This window comes from Homo sapiens, chromosome 5, assembly GCF_000001405.40.
Source record: "Homo sapiens chromosome 5, GRCh38.p14 Primary Assembly".
NCBI lineage: Eukaryota > Metazoa > Chordata > Mammalia > Primates > Hominidae > Homo > Homo sapiens.
Genome location: NC_000005.10, coordinates 109914828 through 109937455, shown reverse-complemented (window position 1 = coordinate 109937455; position 22628 = coordinate 109914828).

The window sequence follows — 22628 nt, the reverse complement described above, 5'->3', positions numbered from 1 at the left end:
AAACAAGTGGAATTGAATTTCAGAAGAAACTGAAACTAGAAACTAGAAATCCATCAAAAATCAAGACAGCCGGTTCCCCTCACCCCCTTTCCCTTCCCTCTTTCTCCTTCTCTGTGTTCTCTCATCTATTTCTGCTGTGTGGCTATGTCTTTCTCATCTCTCTGCTTCTGCGTGCTCAGAAAAAGTCACCACCCCCCCCAAAGTGTAAATGCCTCAGCTCAGAAAGCCAGCTGAACTGCAAGTGCTGCTGAGTCTCAGTTTCAGGCTCCCAGGTGAGAGACTGTGACTAGACAGATTGAGTCAGGGGCCTGAGGCTGGTCCAACCAGCTGTGGCTTAGAATGGGGGTTGGGGGTGGGAGTCAGGATTATACAGGACAAAGGTAGTTTGAGTGAATTGGGGAAGGAGTGTGGTACAAGGTGGGCACCAGGAGGGGATTATTGGGCTGGGCACACTGTCAAAATGTGTCAACTCTAGTACTCAGCCTGTCTGGATTCTAATACTTTGAGAAGTTTAAACATCTGGCCCCTAAAGTTCTCCCCTGTTTTCACACTGTATGAATCTTGAGCTCTGTTTAACAAAGACATCAGCCTGGCAGTGGAAAAACATTTCTTAACTCAGCCTTGGGAAGAGCAGACAGTCTCTTCACCAACATAGTAAGCCCTTCATTCACAAAAAAAGAGACGGAAATTAACTGTAGGATACGTCTGAAAAAAATTAGACAGATAGACCTAGGAGACCAATCATGTTAGCCATTCTCTTATCCACTGTGCCCTCTGGTCCCCCAGTGCCTAAGCATCAAGATAGCTAGGATCTGATAGCTGTGCTTTAATTAACCTGTTAAGGCCCAGAGGGGAGCATTGACAGCATTATCACTGCACAGAATGGATCAGAAGTTCCAAATATCTTACTAAGTTTATTGGATCCCCTGGGGCCTAGGAAGAGTGTGCCACCCTAAGTACTCAGCTTGCCCCACTACTAGACAGCAAATGGAACAGCAGGGAGGAGACTCCACATGCAGCAGAAGGCATCTGTCCTCAGGTTGTTTACAGCACAGCAAAGACACATCTCCAGCTCCTAGGGAGGCCCCACATTATAGTAATAGGCTGCTTTAGGGGTTTCTTATCCTGGTACATTCATGTTGGTTTACTTCTCAGTTTAGCTCACAAGTCATCTCTTTTTCACTCTCCTGTCTTCCTGCAAATGGTTGAGAAATTATCTGACTCATTGACACCATCCTTGAGCCAGGGGTTTCCTTCAGTGTCAGTCACTTCTGAATCAAGTACATTTAGCTGCCATCTTGCTATTTTTCTAAATTACTGTCTTCAGCAAATGCTTAGATAAAACACTCTTTTTATTATTCTCATGGAATTCAGCAAACAGTGTCTATGGGACTTCTGTTTTTCTGAAGTGCTCTGTTGCCAGGATACCCAGGGTGAAGATGTCAAAGAAGACACATTGAAAGGACAAGCTATAGTGAATATCCCCGAATCAGCCCCTTGCATACTAATCATTCAGATTTACCCTATGCTGTTTCTGTTTGCTATAGGAAAGATACTAGAGTCCATAATTTCTAAATAACAAACTGTCCGGGGAACAGAAAACATGTATTATTAAGGAGGGCAATGCATGTTTAACTTCATTTTTTTTCCTTTTTTTTTTCCTCTCTTTTAAAACGTGGCACTAAGACCATTAGAGACAAATTCTGGCTTTTCATTAATACATATAGGAAGATGAAAAAGAAATAGATTTCTACACTGATTATTTCAGGAAGAATGTAAAATATAGTGAAAAGAAAAAGGAAAAGATGAGAGGAAGGAAAGGTACCATTAATAATAGCAAGAAGACCCCAAAAGTCACCTATTTATTTAAAAAGCACAGGTTAAGCATTATAACAAGCATTTATTATCACTTACTGGGTATATACTATGATACTATGCTTATAATGATGGCCCTAGACTTAGATACACTTGAAATGGAATAGATGTAAACTCCTATATCCACATAAATAAATAAATAAACAACAGAAAAGGCAAATCTACAAGTTCAGAATGAGATTTAAGATGATCTTAGCAGTTACTTTCAGGGCTATAAAACAAAAAGTTTATTATAAGCAAATGGTATGATATGTTTGGGTAGAGGAACAATTAATGGAACTTTGGACTGTCTCAAAACTATTCTTCTGACCACATAAGCATATTATACTATTAGAATGTGGCTAGTCATACTAGATTACATATGAAGTCTTATGTTCATGCAGGCACAATATTGCAAGAAAAATATGCTGGCTAATTACACACATCACAGTTGAGACTGACAAGCTTGGTAGAGATGTGAAAGAGAGCTGACCAGAAGGAAAGTTCTGGAAACTACCTCACAAGACTAACTATTAAAGAAACTGAGGATGTTTAAGCCAGGAGAGAAGTTTAAAATGTTGGTGAAAATGCTATTGAGGTTTTAGAAAGCACCAATCCACTCTAAATATACCCATCCTGACCAAAAGTTGACTGAGCTCAAAACAAGTATTGTTTTCTCATCGTTCAACACAATGGACACTTGAGGGATACATTTCCCAAAGAAAGTTCATTAGCAGTCTCCCATTGGCCATGCACTGCTATGTCCTAGCACAGGCCATAGGATCTGACAGTCTTCTGTTCTCAGATGTGGTACCTTGATCCTGTGGTCCTGATCTTGGTTCTGAGGGAATCTTCTCTCCTGGCCTGGTTCTTTCTTTCTCCACCAAAGAATGAAAAAGACAATCTAGAGGCCTCTTCTCCCCTGCAGGCAAGAGGTTTCTCTCTGCCAGTGACAAGTGTTAAGAGAGTTTTGGAGTTTTGGGGGGCTCTCATTTTGAACCTGGGCTTCTACCTCAAAGAGCCACCAAATAATCACATATTCTGAGTACCCACTTAGGGAAATCCATTCCAAGATTTCTGTCCAGTTTTTAGAATGAACATCCAAAGTAGCTAATAGAATATAAAAAATGTTTTCTTTTTAAAAATAGAATATAAAAAATGTTTTCTTTTTAAGACCAAAACATTTTTTTTCCACAATTTGGGTCAAAATGTGCTGCAAATACCAGAAATGTAGACCACCTCAAATTGCTTAAGCTGTTTCTGAAAGAAGGAATCTCTTCCCTTTCTCCCTTCCTGCTGCCAGCCTGCTTTTTAAAGTAATTCATGTACAATGATGATCAAGAAAAGGGACCATCAAGACTGCCAGAAAAATATCCAGCTATGAGACACCACAAGTATAATAGGGTCACATATGACATTAGTATGCATAGAAACCAGAATTTTTATATTGAAAAATCCAAGTTACCCTCTATGCTGGGTTGACCATAAAATAATATTTTATGGAGTGCTATAAGGATAAATGATTATAGTCAGACAATGCCTATTACATACTATTAAAGTATTTTTTAAAATATCAAGTTAGTGGTAAACTGATAGTAGTATTTCAGAATAGCTTTTCAGTTATTCAATATGAATAAAGAACTTTAAAAGTTTCATGACTTTGACCCTGTAATTCCTCTTTCTCTATTTTTACATTAAAGAAATAATCTCAAATGCAGACAAGAATTTATACACAATTGATAGTTCAAAAATTTGAAACAAAATCTAACATTTGGGAAATTACTATGTAATTTTTAGAAAGTTTGTCCAATGGAATATCAACGTGATAAAATTTTAACATAATTTGAGAGAAAAAAGGAATGGAAAATTTTAGAAATGTGACCAAATATTAGATAGAACATATCCAAGCCTTAACAGTGGTTGCATTTGAATGGTAGAACTATGGATCATATTTCCTATAATAAACATGTGCTACATTGGTAATGAGGACTATTCAGTAAAAGCATGTTCAAAGCAATAACTTCTTCGGTATCAACATATCCTTACTCCAGGTGAAATAGTAGATGGATCATAGGAAGAGAAAGTAAAATCTGGTAGTGTTTGGACAGTTACACCTTGCAGATACATTACACGTGTAACTTTATTGTAACTCATGTTTATCCAGCTGCAACCAACTGCCCAAGGTTAGTTGTGTCTGGATCAACTTTTCTCTTGGTCTCCCCAGCATGGCAATCCAGTGCTTTTTTTCCTGATGAATTTGTGTCTGTTTTTGGAGACTCAAGTCCCAGAACATGATAGCTTTTGCACAGAAATGCCATGTTTTCAGGAGAAACTAATCCTGCTTCAAAAGAATATGAGAGTGGGGCTGGAACATAGGCATCAAAAGCCTCAAGACATGAAATACATTAAGAAACCTCAAACACATGCTGGAGGATCCATGTGCAATTACTACATAGCCCTGAGTGAAAATAATTTCCATGCTACATTTAAAATCAGCAACCCTATGTCTTGCACTAGAATTACTTCTAATTCATTTTCTCTTTTGCCCCCAAGTTCTCTTTTCTCACTTAATTCTCTGCCCCATTCCCATCATACACACACACACACACACACACACACACACACACACACACACACACACACAAAATCAGCTAAAATAAAGCTAGTACAATCCACCCGCACCTCAGGGGAAGAGGTTTTGTATAAAAACAAATGCAGTGACTCCCTATTGAGTTCCACACACATTTCTGAGTGTTTTCACATATATACATTGACCCAGTTAATTCTCACAAAAACTTTATGGGGCATTATTATTTCTAGTCTGTGGATGAGGAAACTGAGGCTCAGAGACACTTTAGACTACTTGTCCCATCACCCATGGCAGATCCAGGGTTTAGATTTCTAGTTCTAAATCCCAATTTTTTTGCTATTAAATCACAGTGGGTGCCCACTGGATGATACCTGTTGAGTTCCCTAGATATAGGCTAACCTTACAATTTACCATACAAACTGGGACAATTTTTAGCAGGCATAAATTTGGACGAAGCAGAGAAAACTGGGACTAGTTATCCTAAGATAGGAAAGGTACAAAATATAGTCAAGGGCTTCTACAGTTTACCACACATAACCGTGAACATAAGGTCAGGTCGTCTCAACCTGACAAACTAATACAAAATTGTCAACCAAATGGAAGCCACTGAGTAATTTTTGTGTTCCTGGAAACAATCGTTAAAAGAACCTGTGTAGGAACAATTCAGCCAGTGCAGCCACTCAAAATAATAAATGCTTGAAAGGAAGCCACACTGTTGGGATATCATCACAGACAGAAACTTTGAAATTGACTTTTAATGACGTTCCTAAAAGAGGAGTAGGTTTCCATCAAGCAACAGAGGCCCATGTCTCATAAAGCTATATCGTGGTTAAGATTTAAGTGCTGGCTGGCCACAGTGCCTCGTGTCTATAATCCCAGCACTTTGTAAGCTCAAAGTGGGAGGATCGCTTGAGCCCAGTAGTTCCAGACCAGTCTGGGCACATTGTGAGATCCCATCTCTTAAAAAAAAAAGAAAGAGAGAAAGATTTAAGTGTTAATTAAGTTACCCTTCTGTACAAACAGCATGTAACCAGGAGCAACATTTACATTTGCTCTCTTCCCTTCTCCATCACCCTCTTGCTAGAAGCATTGTGGGCTCAAGCAAAAATCAACTCAAAACCACTGCTGGTTTTATTGGCTGGGGCTGAAGAAGCCCGAGCCAGTGGTTGAATTTCAAAGGAAAATTTGCATCTCTCTCCTCCTACCTGGGTATTCTCATCAGCACATCAGAGGGCCAGAAATCAGCTAGAATTTTAAATTAAGTCAAAACAATATCCACAAATATAAAAGTCGTTGTGTCCCTCCGGACTGCCCAACAAGGCTGACTGAAGTATGAGTCTGTGCTAGCAGAAGCAACACTTGTCCCCTTTGAAGTGAGTGGACATCTCTTCAAGGAAACCCTTCAAGGCTCAATCTTCAAAGGGATACAGGATCCATCTGATGCCCCCAGCCACAGCCTCTGAACCAAGTGGGCTTTGCTCTCTGGCAAAAGAGCCAGAGAGTTCTTTTCAGGTTGAAACAGTCTCAGATGGCGCGGCTTTTAAAGCAAATTAACCACTGCCTGTCAGGTAGAAAAAGCTGGAACTGTGACAAGGGACAGCAATAGGAGATAAAGAAGAGGAAGATGAGGAACCCAAAGTGCTAAGAGAAGGGGGGAATTTTGAAGAAGCATATTTTTATCACTGTTTAAAATTAGCAGAAGAGACCAACAGATGTCTTAGAAAGGTCTTTTGCAAAATCGAAACCAATAATCCTAGTGAAAGCTAGACTCTCTCGTAGGCTCTACTGGGACTTAGAAAATGAATTGTATTTAAATCTATGTGTATTGCAGCTCCCAAAGAGCAGCCTTGTGCAGTCACTGTCTCCCGAATAGCTAGTCATAGTTCATTGAACACTGATAGGTTTGTTCTTATGTGTCCACTCGTCACACCCATAATAGTGCACCTGAGGGAAGCAGCATCATGTGGTGGTTAAAGGCCTGGAGTCAGGACTTGGGAGTGTATGATTTCAAACTCCTGTTCCACTGCTTGCTAGATGTGTGACTTTGGAAGTGTTACTTAATTGCTCTAGGTTTCAATTTCTTCCCCTTCAAAAGGTGGAGAGGAGTGATCATGGTGCTTAACTCACAGGAAAATTAAGTGAATCAATATAATCAATACATGTGAAATAATAGAACAGTGCCCACCAAAAGGTACATGCTGTATAAATGTTGGTTATCATTTATGGATAATAGAAGCACAATTGGATAAATTGTTCATGTTTGTGGTTGTTTGCATCCCTTCTTGTCCCGGAATGAATGTGAGGCAGCTAACAAAAAATAAGTAAAGTTCAGTAAGATAGCGTAATTTTCCAGTAGGAGCAAGAGAAAAAGAGGGCAGGGCTAAAATTCAGCTAGAATATTTATTGTTGGCATTTTTTTTTCAATTGTGAATTAACCTCTCAAAAGGGACCAAGAGGAAAGACACCAGCTAAATAGACAATGGGAAAGGCAAGTCCTCATGTATTGATGTTGGTCTATTCCTCAATAATTTTCAGGTCGACGTCTCATTGCTTCCTTTGAAGTCAACATTTTCCCTGGTTTTGTTCTCTTTTCTTCTTATTACTATTCCTACAGCTCATGCCAGAAATACATAGTACGGATCAGGAATGCTGCTAAAGCGAAGACGGAGAGAGTGAGGAGGTAGAAGCTAAGAACAAATGCAGACACGGACCCAAAGGGAAAGAAGAGAATCAGGAAGTTTAAGGGACTTAAAATACTTCCTGTCCAGACCTATAAATCTATTACCTAAAGATGTGTTCTTTCTACCCTAGAGTGCTCTGTGACTCTCAGGCTCTACAGGGAACTCCCAGCCTGGCCTCTGCTTCCAATTAATGCTGCCCATTAACATTTTCATGAGGTGATACATTTGTCTTCTGAATATGGTAATGATCTCAGAGTTCTTCCTTGTCTTGGGAAAATTTATTCACCAAAAATGTCTGCTCCAGGAACCAATTAGAACAGCACTGTCTTAAGGAATTTTACTATGGTTTGAACATCAGTATTAACTTAAGCATAGGCCATGTTTATGTGGCACATAAACAAAGAAGTGATTGATATTCTAGAACTAGATGGTTATAATAACAACTCATGTTTAGACTCATGAAACTGGAAGAGACCTTTTAGAGATGAAATGCTGCTTCCTTATTTTGCAGCTGAGATAAAGTAATTTCCTCCAACCCACCCTATTCTGTTCTTAATAGAGTGAGAGGAGATGCACAAAATTTATTTTTCATCAAAACAGATTAAAGAAACCCGATGCATTATTTCCTTGGTTTTCCAGTTTATCAGTGTGAGAGCATCTTTTGCTGTTGGAAGATGTGTTTCAGGGACTGGGCATGTCAGGATGTTCACTCCGACTCCTCTGTAGTGGGCCACTGGGGAGCCTCTGCTAACTCCTCTCCAGCTGTCCAGCTGCCATCTGTCAGTGTAGCCATTGTTAATTCTCGTGAGAATCAGTTATGATTTGAGAAGAGTTGCCATTTGTCAGGGGGAAACCACATCACCAAGTTTATTATGCTGGAAAGCATAATTTTATTCAAAATTAGTTGGTAAACTCTAGCTGGAGATCCAGAAGTACGGAGATCCATACTTAATGTGTGTGAGCTTTCTGATTCCTATTTTTCTCACTTCTTAGAAACATGGTGTCAAAAAAAAATGGCCTCTGCAAATAGACGGTCATCAGGCTTGTGATCTTAGGTCAACCTCTCTAAGCCCCAGTTTCCTCATATGTAAAATGGAGACATTAACAGTATTGTCTATGACATATGGTTATTATAACATATAAATGAGATAAATCAAGTAAAGCATTAGTTCATGTAGGCACTAAATAAAGCAAAGGACAGATCTCAAACCTGAGGAGTAGACAGACATTCATGTAACACAACAAAGTAATAAAAAAAAGATGTCACGCTATCAGACTGACCTTTGTAATGCATACAATTATGTTTTCCAGATAGTCCATTCTGAGGACATACCTTTCAGGGGCTCCCTGTCCCTCGCCTCCTTTACTCTCATGACATGACACTTTCACAGCCACCTCTTTACCTCACACACTGCATTCAGGAAAAGCACTGCATGCAACAGAAAATGGCTGATTCCCCCATGTTTTGAGTCTGGACACAGGACCTGGCAGAAATCTGAGGGATGGAGAACAAAGAGATGAAAAGCACTGATGGCATAAGAAATAAGGAAGGAAGGACATCTATGAATATGACATCGCCAAGAATCTAGAGTGCAACCTGTGGAAAAGTTGAATAGATTAAGAAATTTATTTTGTTTCACTGGCCAAGTGGTGGGTGAGGAGGGAAGGGAATATGTGTTCTTTTTCCCCATCCCCCATCTCCACTTTCTAGCAAACACTTGGATTTCTCCAATTGGAAGTTAGGAAGGTAGAGATAAATAGACATATCATTTGGCAAGTATAATAATAACAATAACTGACTCGGACAAGAATTATCAAAGGCTGAGAAAACAAGTGGATGAAAGTTTGATAAGAAACAGTATATTTACACCATTTCCAAATATTAATTACAAAGAAGATAGTGCTAACTTTACAGTAGAAAAACACTTAAAGATGCCCCCATAACCACGTAATCCTAGCTAACATCACCAATAATGGGACAAACTGGCATCATGTCTCTACTGATGTAATGGATACAATATTATTTATGTAGTATTCCTGCCAAAAAGGCATAACCTGAAAGTAGTGAGGAAACAAATACACACAAATGGAGGAGCATTGCACAAAACAACTGTCCAGATACTCTTGCAAAATGTCAATGCCGTGAAAGACAAAAAAGCCTGAGTAATTATTCCAGATTTAAGCAAACTAAAAAGTACAATAAGTGATCCTGGACCAAGGAAAAAGGCTATAAAAGACATCATTTGGACATGATCTACTACTGTCTGAATGTTTGTGTCCCCCCAACATGCATAAGTTAAAACCCTAACCCCTAAGGTGATGTTAGGAGGTGAAGCCTTTGAGGAGTTAAGTCATGACAGCTCTGCCTTCATTAATGGAATTAGTGCCTTTATAAAAAAGACCCCAGAGAGCTACCTAGCCCCTTCCATCAAGTAAAGGCACAGAGAGAAGGCACCATCTATTAACCATGAAACTTGCTCCACTAGACACAGAACCTGCCAGCACCTTGATCTTCGACCTCCCAAACTCCAGAACTGTGAGAAATAAATTTCCGTTGTTTGTAATCCTTGTTTTTAAGAGAGACACACAGTATTTAGAGATAAAATTCGTGACATTTACAATTTACTCTCAAATCATTTAGCAAAGCTAACAGTAATAGTAATAGGGAGAAGAAGGAGAAGGAGACTGTTGGAGGGGGAGGGGAGGTGGAGAAAGAGAAAGCAAGGATTGTATAACATTAACATTGGTGAATCTAGGTAAAGGGCATATGGAAGTTAATTACATTACACTTGCAACTTTCTGACTTTCAGTAAGTTTGAAGTTTTTTCAGAATAAACATTTTACAAAACATTACGAAAAAAAGAGAAACACAGAGAAAGAGAGAGCGTGCACCATGTATAAGACAAATAACTAGCTGATTGTAAGATAGGTTTGTTAACTGAAAGCACCATCCCCTCCATGAGGAGAACACTGACCTTGGTCACATTTTTTTTTTCTTTTAAGACAGAGTCGCACTCTGTCGCCCAGGCTAGAGTGCAGTGGCGCGATCTTGGCCCACTGCAACCTCCGGCTCCCAGGTTCAAGTGATTCTCCTGCCTCCGCCTCCCTAGTAGCTGGGACTATGGGTCACATTTCACTTGGAAGTACTCCACTAAGTTCCCATATTGTTGCAGTTTCCAGGGTTGTAACCCCCAATCATTGTGCTTTCACTGCCAAGTTACACTGCTGATTTTGTGTAGCCTTAATTCTTTCTGAAAGCATTAAATTATTTTTAGTAGAACTCATGCTACCTACCAGTCATGAAAAATTGTTTACTGTTAATTGAAAATGTTTGTAAAAAGAGCAAACTATTGTCAAAAACAATGCATACATGGCTGAAATATTTCTTTTCCCTTGAATCCTTAAGTATTCTTTGAGTAGGCATTTGCCAATTGGAGTTGTACATTGTCTTTCTTGCGTTAAGCACACCCATCGCCAATTATTTCCAGGTTTCATTTCTTTAAAGTTGAAAGTATATTTTGTCTAGATGTTTACATTCTTTTCCATCATTTACAGATATCTTGTCTGCTGATGCAATATAAACTCTTTAATCACAAGAAATTTCGTTGAATTTCTTCAGAACATTCAACTTATTTTTCATAGAAATGACTCATATATATCATCAGTTTATGTAGTATTTAATTAATTCTATAATTACAGTTTTAAAGATAACTGGAAGGAAGAGATTTGGAAACAAACACAATTAGCTCTTGGTACACATACAAGCATACAGCCAACCTAGGGAAGAACAAGAACATAAGGCTGACCAGCCAACTGACTGTAAGCATTCAATGTGCCATGAGCTTCAGTCATCGTGTTTAGAGAATAGAAGAAAATCAGTTAATTCACAAGGTGTTGGGTGTCAATTCAGTAGCAGTCACTAAGAGATCTTCTGCGTATTTACTTATTTTCAATCCACAAAAAAGATTTGCTATCTTCCATATGTAAAAATATCCCTTCCATGGGTAAAGATTGATTGTCAATTCTCCATGAAATTTACCACTTATCAGAGAAACTAAAATTAGGAGTATTGATCTGATGGACATACAGCCATTGAGTGCCTACTGTGTGCCAAGCACTGTTCTGGACATCAGGATAACGGGTTCCTACAGAGCTTCATCACAGTGGGTATAGTTATCTGGTAGGATTAACTGCTGGACTGCACTTCTCTGCCCCAGTAAAGTTCATAAGAAAATGCGTGCTTGGCTCAATAAGTAAGGAATTAATTCAAGGCTATTCTTTCTGTCTTCTGAGAGACTGGAAGAATAAAAAAGAGGGAGGTTTTACCCTGTGTCAAGTTAAATGCTGTTATCAGTTGCTGCATGTACAACATGTTGTTTATGGTAAAGTCAATTGATTATGATGCCCGAAACCAAGTGATAGATGGGACATGGCTGTAGCAGCAGCAGAAAAACAAAGAAAAATAGCCATCATTAACATATGGAGGCACATGTATGCGATTTTGTGTTTTCTTTTATTAAAGCAATTTTGTAAATTTGAGCTGATCCTTTTAATTAATCATGGAGCCAAGGCTTTTTAGTTTTCTGTTTTTTATCTGTGTCTTCAAATTACTTTTAAAAGACTGTTGCTGCTTTTAGTAGAATTTTGCCTTCAAGTTAGGAAGTAACTGAGAAGATTTCTGAATATTCGGGTTAAAGAACATAGCTGTTGGTTTTGGTGTTGAACTCTGGTTTGCCTACCTGCCTAGTTGGTTCTGCCCATCTCTGTGCTTGTGATTGATACCCACTCCCCTCTTTTATTGGCTCTCATGCCCACAAGGCAGGCCATTCCCTCCACATACACACACCCTGATGTACACAAGGGTCCCTGCCAAGGGTGGCTCCATCTTTCTTCTCTATGAATTAAAACTTCTACTTTGCTAAGTAGCCAAAAGAAGGTTCCTGAAATCTCAGTAACTTCCGGTCTTTACTCCAATTTCATGAATACCTAAAGTGCTTCTCATGAATACCCTTAGTCAATGATCCAGGTCAAACTCTTATTTTATCAGAAAATCAAGATGGGAAAAGGTGAATGACACAGCCACTGTCATATCATAGAACCAAAGCAAAATCCAAGACCTCCTCTCTCTCAGCTAAGCTCTTTCTACTGTGTAACAATCTACCATTTTTTAGTACTTTAACAATGGTTCATGTAGCCTCTACAGCGCTATCCTGAGTTTGCTTTCTGTGATTCCAGCATGTAGAGCATGCCTCACAATTAGCATGTAGGTTCCTTGAGGGCAGGGACTATTCCTTTCATGTCCACAGCTTGCACAGAGTGGAGAGGACACTGACTAAAGGACAGGGGGATTTAATTAGCCAAATCTCATATCAGACAGCACCAGATCCTCCCTCCCAGCCACCTCCCAGTACCCCAATAAACAACCAGCCCATATCTTCTGATTACATTTCCAGGCTCCCATGTGCTTTTGATTAACTTCTGTGTTTTTCAGCCTTTGCATTGCTGATGCATCCATTTTCTGTCCCCAAGTGGGATATAGAACTGTAGGTAACAGGCAGTTAATAAGCTAAACAGGTAGGGACAGAGGCTCATTAATGGTTGCTCTATGATTTGTGGCCGGTTCCCTCAGCACCTAAATCTTGAAATAAATATATTCAGAGACTCCGTTATCCAGGAAGAGGACATGGATCATTTTTCTTTCATTAACAATGGAGCCGCTACAGCAACATTTTTATTTATATGCACATTTCCAAGCCTAAAAGCTTGTCCCTTTAAACCTGCTTGCACTAAATTTTGATCGGCCCTTGATGAAAGAAGACTTATGAATCGGAGACAACCTGGTAACCATCTGTGCCCAATGCATATTAAAGGAAATGTAAATTCGCAAAAGACTCCCCAGCATATATCAGCTTCTCCACCCTGGGAAGACAGAGGATGATTAGAGAATCTGGGACCAAATCTCCCAATTCAGGAGGGCCATGTTAATGAGGAACTTTGCCGAAGTACACAGCAGGAAGAAGCCTTCAACAAAAGAAATTTCTAGATAACAGATGGGCCCAAATTTCTTCTATCTAGAAATCTATCCTTCTATCTGATGTGATAGGCACTTTAAGGGGTCTCTACCCAACCATAAGACCACACATGCATGCTTCACACATACACATGTGTGAGCATGTACCTGCACACATATGCCTCTCTGAGCTCTAGTACATGTGGGTCCAGGCAGCCATATTAATTGTCTATGTGAACATTTTGTGAGCTTTCTATCCATACCATGCCACCCCAGGACCATAGTCTTGGAATTGTTCTGGACAGCCTGTATACCATTAAGGCATATACTGTGATCAGAAATCAGGCAATCACATCCCTCCCTCAGAACCCTTTTAACCTTCTCTGACTTAATCTAAACTAATCAGATTTTTTTCTGTGAATTTGGAGTTGGCACTGATAGGAACAGCTCTACTGTTTGCCTGAGTTGAGGGCTTTGTAAAATTGCCAGATAAGAGGCAGCCGTCTTCTGCCATGTGCTTGAAGAAATAGCAAAAGTTGGTGTAATAAGAGAAAAATAAAGCAGATACACAGTGACGAGTGGAGAGCAAGAGCCTCAAAAGTCAGAGACAGACACACACATAAAGACAGAGAGACAGAGACAGAGGGAGAGAGAGGAATTGTGTTACTTTCTGAACACTTTAAGATGCTGGTCCCAAACCTAGACATGTCTTCCCCTGGTGTTTCATGAGATAGATAGCCTATTTTCTTAGTGTCAGTCCTCCATTCTGCTTGAATTAGCAGTAAAAGAGCTTTGGGGACAATCCCTAGCCAGGTGAGGGCTAGGCCCATCTAGGCTTCAGGGACAGATTTCCAGCAAAGCCACGCAGCAGTTCTTCCCCACCACTGAGCAAAGGAGCCTTTGTTAGGCTAGGGTGCACCACCTGTGCACTGTCTGCCTGTCCTTTGTCAGAACCAGCCCCTCCTGCTAGCTTTTTAACATCTCTGTCCTTGCCAAAAACATTCAGAGTTGGAAGACAAAGGCATCAAGGATGCAGAAGAGAGGCCCTGGCAAAAGTGAGAGCAAAACCAAGGATTGCTGTGGACAAAGATAGCAAGGACAAGTCACTTCAGTGGGCTGTCATTCACAACCGAAAGCCACAGGCTGGAGTGCCTGTGGTGGCTGGAATACAATGTTCTACCATAAGGAAAATGAGGTGGGTAACTCCTTTCATTTCCACCATAGTGAAGGTCTATTCTTTCCTTCAAAAATATTTAATATACTATTCCAATTGTATTAAAAATGCAATACCAGCCAGATATGGTTGCTCCCACCTGTAATCCCAGCACTTTGGGAGGCCAAGGCAGGAGGATCACTTGAGTCAGAAGTTCAGGACCAGGCTGGGCAACATAGGGAGACTCCATCTCTACCAAAAAAAAAAAAAAAAAGTTGAGTGTGGTGGCACACACCTGTAGTCCCTGCTACCCATGATGCTGAGTCAGAAGGATTGCTTGAATCCAGGAGGCAGAGGCTGCAGTGAGCTGATTGCACCACTGTACTCCAGCCTGAGAGGCAGAGCAAGACCTCATTAAAAAACAAAAAAAATCAAGCAATACCCAACGTGGTCAAGTTCTGTCTCTTCTTGGCTCTAACACACGTCCTAGGTATCTGATCGCAGGATAGAAATCAGTACAGAAAGTATTTCACACCCTGCCCCACCCCCAAACAAAGCCAAAGCAGGTCTGTCTACAGCTTACTCCATGGCACTGCATCATTCTTCACCCCACAGCCTCCCCCCAGCCCCCACACCTTTCCTCCACCGTGCTCCCTGGATAAGCATCCCACTCATGCTTTAGACTGCCCAGAGGGAGTAATTTGGCACCACACGGGACACCTTATTCTTGGAGTGCTAAACAGAAGTTAAGACTCGTGACTCTTCTCAGCTCTAATCACACACTAATTTCTCTGATAAAGCCACTTCAGATTTCTGTTCAGCCCAGACCCTTGGCATCAGGCCTTGGAGCTGTTCTGGGCCAGGCTGCTGGACATACCATGTGATCTGAGCTCAAGCAGTCACCACATACCTCCCCCATCAAACCTTCTAACCTGCTTTGTTTTGATTATTTTAAAATCCTGCCAAACCTATTAGGGCTAATGCTCCGCTGAAAGCAGCCACGACCTCCTGTCAGCACTTGGCACTGCAGGGCCATCCGTGACAAGGGGGGAGCTCACAGTCCTCTCTGTAGGAGGCTAGCACCCTCTGCTTCCAAAGAGGGAGGGAGTGACTGCAGAAAAGGCACCTGCCACCTAAACCTCAGAAGTCAACGGCTCCCCTGCCCCTGCAGCTAAGGCCTCAGTTCTTTGAAGCATATGAGCAGCTGCAGAAGCAATGGTGGCCTCAAAAAGTCCCATCAGCAGCTCTCAGAGTTTGTCTTCAAAACAAAAGTGCACCTGTGTTTTGGCAAGCTTCAAAGGGGTTATGAGTTGTGAGCAAATGCAATGTGGTTGAGTGAGAAGTGCTTTGAGCCTATGACTGCACAGACACACCACAGCATCTGGCACCATGGCTGCTCTGTGACCTTGAGGAATCACTCTCTGGACCTTCGGCATAGAAGAGATTCACACCTGATCAGATTCACCCCTGAGCTTCAGGACCTGGGTTAACAGTTAAAGACCTTCCCAGCTTGTCCTTCCATGCCTCAGGTTTGTACTGCTTTCTTTAGCATCTAATAAACAGTTCCTGTCCCTTCCCCTTTGGTCTTGGCTCCTAGAATGCCCTTCCATCTCCCTACTCAAATCCAGCACATTCTCTAAGACTCAGCTTAAGTTACTTTTTCTTGAAGGCTTTCTTGGCTCCCACAGCCCTCAAGGCTCCTCCTACTATCCCATCAGGCAATTGCACACAATTATGCAGCCATTATAGACTCCTTTATGTTGTTCTCGATTATTATGTCTGTGTTAATATTGCATCCTTCAATATCCTAAACTCCTCAAGGATAGGGTCCAAATCATTTTAGCACACTCCTGGATTGTGTGCTAAGATTAAAAAGAAAAAAATAATAAAATGGCAACATCCCAGGGCATGATTATTCTGCCACCCTTCCCCAGTAGTCACACTCTTAGTCAGGAGAACACAGCACTCTGTCATTTTCTAAAGGTCAGAAAAAGGTGATCGCGGTCAGCCAGTAAAAGTCGGGTGAGCCACGTCCATCTGGGTGTCCCTGCTGTCTATTTCTAAGTAATCCTCTGCTTAGGGGGCAGTCAGTGATGCCAACAGTGGGGGCTTTCAATCCATAATTACAACGTCTTTCCTTCAGCCCAAAATGTGGAACAGCTCCTGATTCCTCCCTTGGCAGCCAAAAGGCTGATCTAGCCCCAACCAACTGCAAGAGGTAATGGCAGGACCACGAACCTCCTGCAGCTGCAGGGATGAGCCATGGGAGGCTGATAACCACGAGAAATGACCACAAGGACTCTATGGGTGTCCTTGGAGGCAAGGACTGGTTGAGAGAAGAGTTGGGGAAAGTAGAAATGAGGCTTTGCAATGAAACTCTGAATAAAGCTAGCTCTATGGGCCTTTGCAGGTAAAAGCCCTAAATGACGGAAAGGTAGCAATCCCCATCCCCAACACTACTCTCCATATCCATGCAGGCACAACCTTCCACATGCCCCAGGAGCCCGGCAGCTTTTGAGGACCCTGCTCACTCTCAGTGGTAGAGGAGGAAGAGAAAGAGAGAAAATCCATTCAAAGCCAGGACCTAGCAGAGTCCAAATAAGAGGATATTTAAAAATAAATAAATAGCTCAATTCACTTTACAAAAGAAGACATAGAGGTGGCCAACTAGCATATGAAAAAATGTTCAACACCACCAATCATTAGAGAAATGCAAATCAAAACCACAATCAGATACCATCTCACACCAGTCAGAATGGCTATTATTAAAAGGTCAAAAAAGAACAGATAGTGGCAAGATTGCAGAGAAAAGGGAATGTCTATACGTTGCTGGTGACAAAGTAATTAGTTCAGCCATTGTGGAAAGCAGTGTGATGATTTCTCAAAGAACTTAAAACAGAATTACCATTTGGCTCAGCAATCCCATTATTGGATATATATCCAAAGGAATATAAATCATTCTACTATAAAGACGCGTGCACATATATGTTTATCACAGCACTATTTACTGTAGCAAAAACATGAAATCAACCTAAATGCCCATCAATGGTAGAATGGGTAAAGTAAATGTGGTACATATGCACCATAGAATACTACACAGCCATAAAAAGAATCAGATTATGTCCTTTGTAGCAACAAGAATGGAGCTGGAGGCCATTATCCTCAGCAAATTAATGCAGGAACAGAAAACCAAATGCCACATGTTCTCACTTATAAGTGAGAGCTAAACACTGAGTACATATGAATGCAAAGAAGAGGACAACAGACACTGGGGCCTACATAAGGGTGGAAGGTGTGAGAATGGAGTGGATCAAAAAACTACCAATTGGATACTATGCTTATTAGCTAGATGATGAAATAATTTGTACCCCAAACCCCCGTGACATGCAATTTACCTGTATGACAAACTTGCACCTGTACCTCTGAACCTACAATAAAAGTTTATTTAACAAGTCAATTTAAAAGGATCTAGAGACTTGGTCATTGGCTAATTTCATTGCACCGGATCCATCACAGACAATAGATATTTGGGCTCAAATGTTTCTAGACTGGAGCACGGGATGAGGGAAATATTGTATCTTTTGTTTTGTCCTAAGGAGGAGAAACAAATTCCCAGGGTGTATTAGTCCATTTTCATACCCCCATAAAGAATTGCCCAAGACTGGGTAATTTATAACGGAAAGAGGTTTAATTGACTCACAGTTCAGCATGGCTGGGGAGGCTTCAGGAAACTTACAATCATGGCGGAAGGTGAAGGGGAAGCAAGGCACCTTCTTCACAAGGTGACAGGAAGGAGAAGTGCTGAGCTAAGGGGGAAAACCTCCCATCTCAGGAGAACCATCAGATCTTGGGAGAACTTACTTACCATCCTAAGAACAGCATGAGGGAAACCACTCCCATGATTTAGTTACCTCCACCTGGTCTCTCTCTTGACACATGGGGACCAAGGGATTATGGAGATTACTATTTAAGATGAGATTTAGGTGGGGACACAAGCCTAACCATATCATTCTCCCTCCAGCCCCTCCCAAATTTCATGTCCCTTTCACATTTCAAAACCAATCATGCCTTCCAAACAGTCCCCCAAATTCTTAATTCATTCCAGTATTAACCCAAAAGTCCACGTCTAAAGTCTCAACTGAGACAAGGCATGTACCTTCCACCTAGGATTCTGTAAATCAAAATCAAGTTATTTGCTTCCTGGATAAAATGGGGGTAAAGGCACTGGGTAAATATACCCATTCCAAATGGGAGAAATTGACCAAAACAAAGAGGCCATAAGCCCCATACAAGTCCTAAATCCAATGGGAGAGTCAAATCTTAAAGCTCTGAAACGATCTCCTTTGACTCCATGTCTCACATCCATGTCATGCTAATCTAAGAGGTAGGTTCCCATGGCCTCAGGCAGCTCTGCCCCTGTGGCTTTGCAGTGTATAGCCCCCTCCTGGCTGCTGTCTCAGGTTGGCATTGAGTGTCTGCAGCTTTTCCAGGTGCATGGTGCAAGCTGTCAGTCGATCTACCATTCCAGGGTCTGGAGGACAAGGGCCCTTTTCTCACAGCTCCACTAGGCAGTGCCCCAGTAGGGACTCTGAACAGAGGCTCTGACCCCACACTTTACTTCCACACTACCCTAGGAGAGGTTCTCCATGAGGGTTCCACCCCTGTAGTAAACTTCTGCCTGCACATCCAGGTGTTTCCATATATCCTCTGAAATATAGGCAGAGGTTCTCAAACCTCAGTTCTTGACTTCAGTGCACCAGCAGGCTCAACACCATGTGTAAGCCACAGGCTTGGAGCTTGTACCCTCCAAAGCAATGGCCTGACCTGTAAGTTAGCCCCTTTTAGCCATAGCTGGGATGCAAAGCACCAAGTCCCAAGATTACACAAAGCAGCAAGGCCCAGGAACAAGGCCTCTGGGCCTGTGACGGGAGGGGCTGCTGCAAAGGTCTCTGACATGCCCTGGAAACATTTCCCCCATGTCTTGGCAATTAACATTTGGCTCCTCGTTACTTAAGCAAATATCTGCAGCTGGTTTGAATTTCGCCTCAGAAAATGAGATTTTCTTTTCTATTGCATCATCAGGCTGCAAATTTTCCAGACTTTTAAACATAACTTCCAATTCCAAACCGTCTCTTTGTGAATGCATAAAACTGAATACTTTTGAAAACATCCAGGTCACCTTTTGAACATTTTGCTGCTTAGAAATTTCTTCTGCCAAATACCCTAAGTCTCAAGTTCAAAGTTCCACAGGTCTCTAGGATAGGGGCAAAATGCTGCCAGTCTCTTTGCTAAAGTATAGCAAGAGTGACCTTTTCTCCAGTTCCCAGTAATTTTCTCATCTTTATTTGAGACCACTTTAGCCTGGGCTTCATTGTTGATATCACTATCAGCATTTTGGCCCAAACCATTCAACAAGTCTCTAAGAAGTTCCAAACTCTCCCACATCTTCCTGTCTTTTTCTGAGCCCTCCAAACTGTTGCAATCTCTGCCTGTTACCCAGTTCCAAAGTCGCTTTCAAATTTTCAGGTACCTTTATAGCAGCACCACACTCTCTGTGGTACCAATTTACTGTATTAGTCAATTTTCATACTGCTATTAAGAATGGCCCAAGACTGGGTAATTTATAAAGGAGAGAGGTTAAATTGACTCACAGTTCAGCATGGCTGAGGAGGCCTCGGGAAACATATAATCACGGTGGAAGATAAAAGGGAAGCAAAGCACCTTCTTACCTTCTTCCCAAGGCAGCCGGAAGGAGAAGTGCTAAGCCAAGGGGGAGGGGCCCTTATAAAACCATCAGATCTCGTGAGAACTCACTATCTTGAAAACACCATAAGGGAAAATCACCCCATGATTCAATTACCTCCACCTGGTCTCTCTCTTGACAAGTGGGGATTATGAGGATTATGGGGATTACAATTCAAGATGAGATTTAGGTGGGGACACAAAGCCTAACTGTATCACAGGGGCAGTATTTTTAGGAAGAGAAATACAAGCATTAAAAAACAAGAAATGGAAATAAATGCACCCAGAAATGTCTCTAGGACTTGAAATAACATCTTTGCACATGCCTTTGGCAGAGCTAGGCTTGCTCTAAGAGTCCTATCTCAGACACAGCAGTGTTTAACTGGGGCCTTCTTTTCCCTGGAGATGTCCTGTTCTCTTCTCACCATTTTCTTCGCATCCCACACTTCAGGACTTCTGTCCACTGCTCAGTTTCTCACCACTCACACACAAGCCCAGCAGCCTCATGGCTGTCAGGAGAATTATCTGTTATCAGGCTTCTGTGAGATTAAATTTAGTCATTATCTTGGAAGAGAATTATCTCATGTTGACAAAATCCCTCAGAGTTCACTGTAGAGAACTTTAGTTTCCACATTCAAGTGAGATTTGAATTTGATCAGGCATCAATTAAACACTGTGCATTACATAGTGACCTAACTTCAAAAGAAAAGTCAGTGCTTGTGCTATGCTTGTTCAGCACGAAGGGTTTCGTTTCCTTCTTCAACCATCATTTGAGGTTACAGGTCAGACTCAGAAATAATGGGCCATACGTTTACAATAATACATAGGGGTTATGATTGCTGCTTTTAAAAAGAGCCATAGCATTCTAAATTATAGGCTCATTTTCCTGGGTCAGCTTTGCCTCAATGAGGGCAGCACCATGTGGCACTTAAGAGCAAAGCTTTGGGACCAGACAGGCCTGTGTTCAAATATTATTCCATCACATTTAGCCATGTCAGATTGAGCAATTTCACTAAGCTCACCAAGCTCAGTTTCATAATCTATAAAGTGGGAATTAATAAAATCATGTATATAGAAAGCATAACACAGTGCCTGCTATATGATAAGCAGTCAATAAATGGCAGCTACCACTCATCGGTACCTCTCTTAGAGTAGTTATCATTTTCTAAATTAAATAATTTATTTAATTAGCAAATATTTGTCAACCATATACTAAGCCATTGGGGAAGATAATAGAGATAGAGTAACTAAACTCGTGCTCTCCGCCCTCAAAGAACTTATAATTTTGGAGTGAGACATGTTTTTTTATCAAGCTTATGAGACTGTGTATATAAAGTGTTTCAAGAGCATTGGAGGCCGGGCGTGGTGGCTCACGCCTATAATCCCAGCACTTTGGGAGGCCAAGGCGGGAGGATCACGAGTTCAGGAGATGGAGACTATCCTGGCTAACACAGTGAAACCCCGTCTCCACTAAAAATACAAAAAAAAAAAAAATTAGCCAGGCGCGATGGCCAGTGCCTATAGTCCCAGCTACTCAGGAGGCTGAGGCAGGAGAATGGCGTGAACCCAGGAGGCGGAGCTTGCAGTGAGCCGAGATCACGCGGCTGCACTACAGCCTGGGAGACACAGCGAGACTCCGTCTCAAAAAAAAAAAAAAAAAAAAGAGTATTGGAGAAGGAGCATCCAAACTGACTGAATATATCCAGGAAGGCATTGTAGAAAAGATAGCTCTTGAACATAGATTTCAATGATATGCATTTATTAGGACTCAAGTGCAGGCAAGCCACTTTAGTGGAGAACATAGCATGTACCGAGTCTCAGAGGCATGAGAGAGTAGAGTTCATTCACGTAATCGCAAACTGGTCTGTCATACCTGGTGAGGAGAGGTTAAAACAAAGATGAAGAGCTGGATAAGAAAAGGTCATTGTAAGCTCCCTGAAAGGAATGAAAGGTTTGATCAGTTTTGCATATTGAGGATAAGGCCCAGCTCATATTCATGTGTGCCCAGCACCGAGACCTGCACATAGCAGACGCTCAATAAATGTTAGTTGAAAAGACAAATTAAAGAATGAATGGAGCATCTCAGTATTACTATCTCACTTTCAGTAATCAGATCAAATTTGTACGGGGTAGGGGTTCCTAAGGCAGAACTGGATGTTCCCAAATAAATCTGGACCACAGCCTTTTGTATCTTCTACAGGGAAATCCCCAAGGCCCTTTTAATCATCTTACACATGTTGGACCACAGAACATACCTGAACACACTTTTCCAGCTCTCTGACCATGATAAAATTAGTTTATACTCAGGTGAGATTGGCCCTTTCCGGGCATTTTCATTTTTGCCCCCAAGCAAATACTTACTGTAGGGTTTGAGTATGAAACAGTATCTGTGGTGGAACAACTCAAGTGCCTTTCAAAACAAAGGATTTAAAGATATGGTTCAGGAATTCAGAAAAGTCAGAGCCAGTCCTAAAGTCTGCAAGCATATCTGGTGTAAGAGCAGAAGAAGGGCTGGACTTGTGAGGTGGAGAATGGAGGAGATCCACAAGAAAAGAAGAAAGATGGTTTCTGCCAGGCTGTTCTAGGAAAAGAGAAATA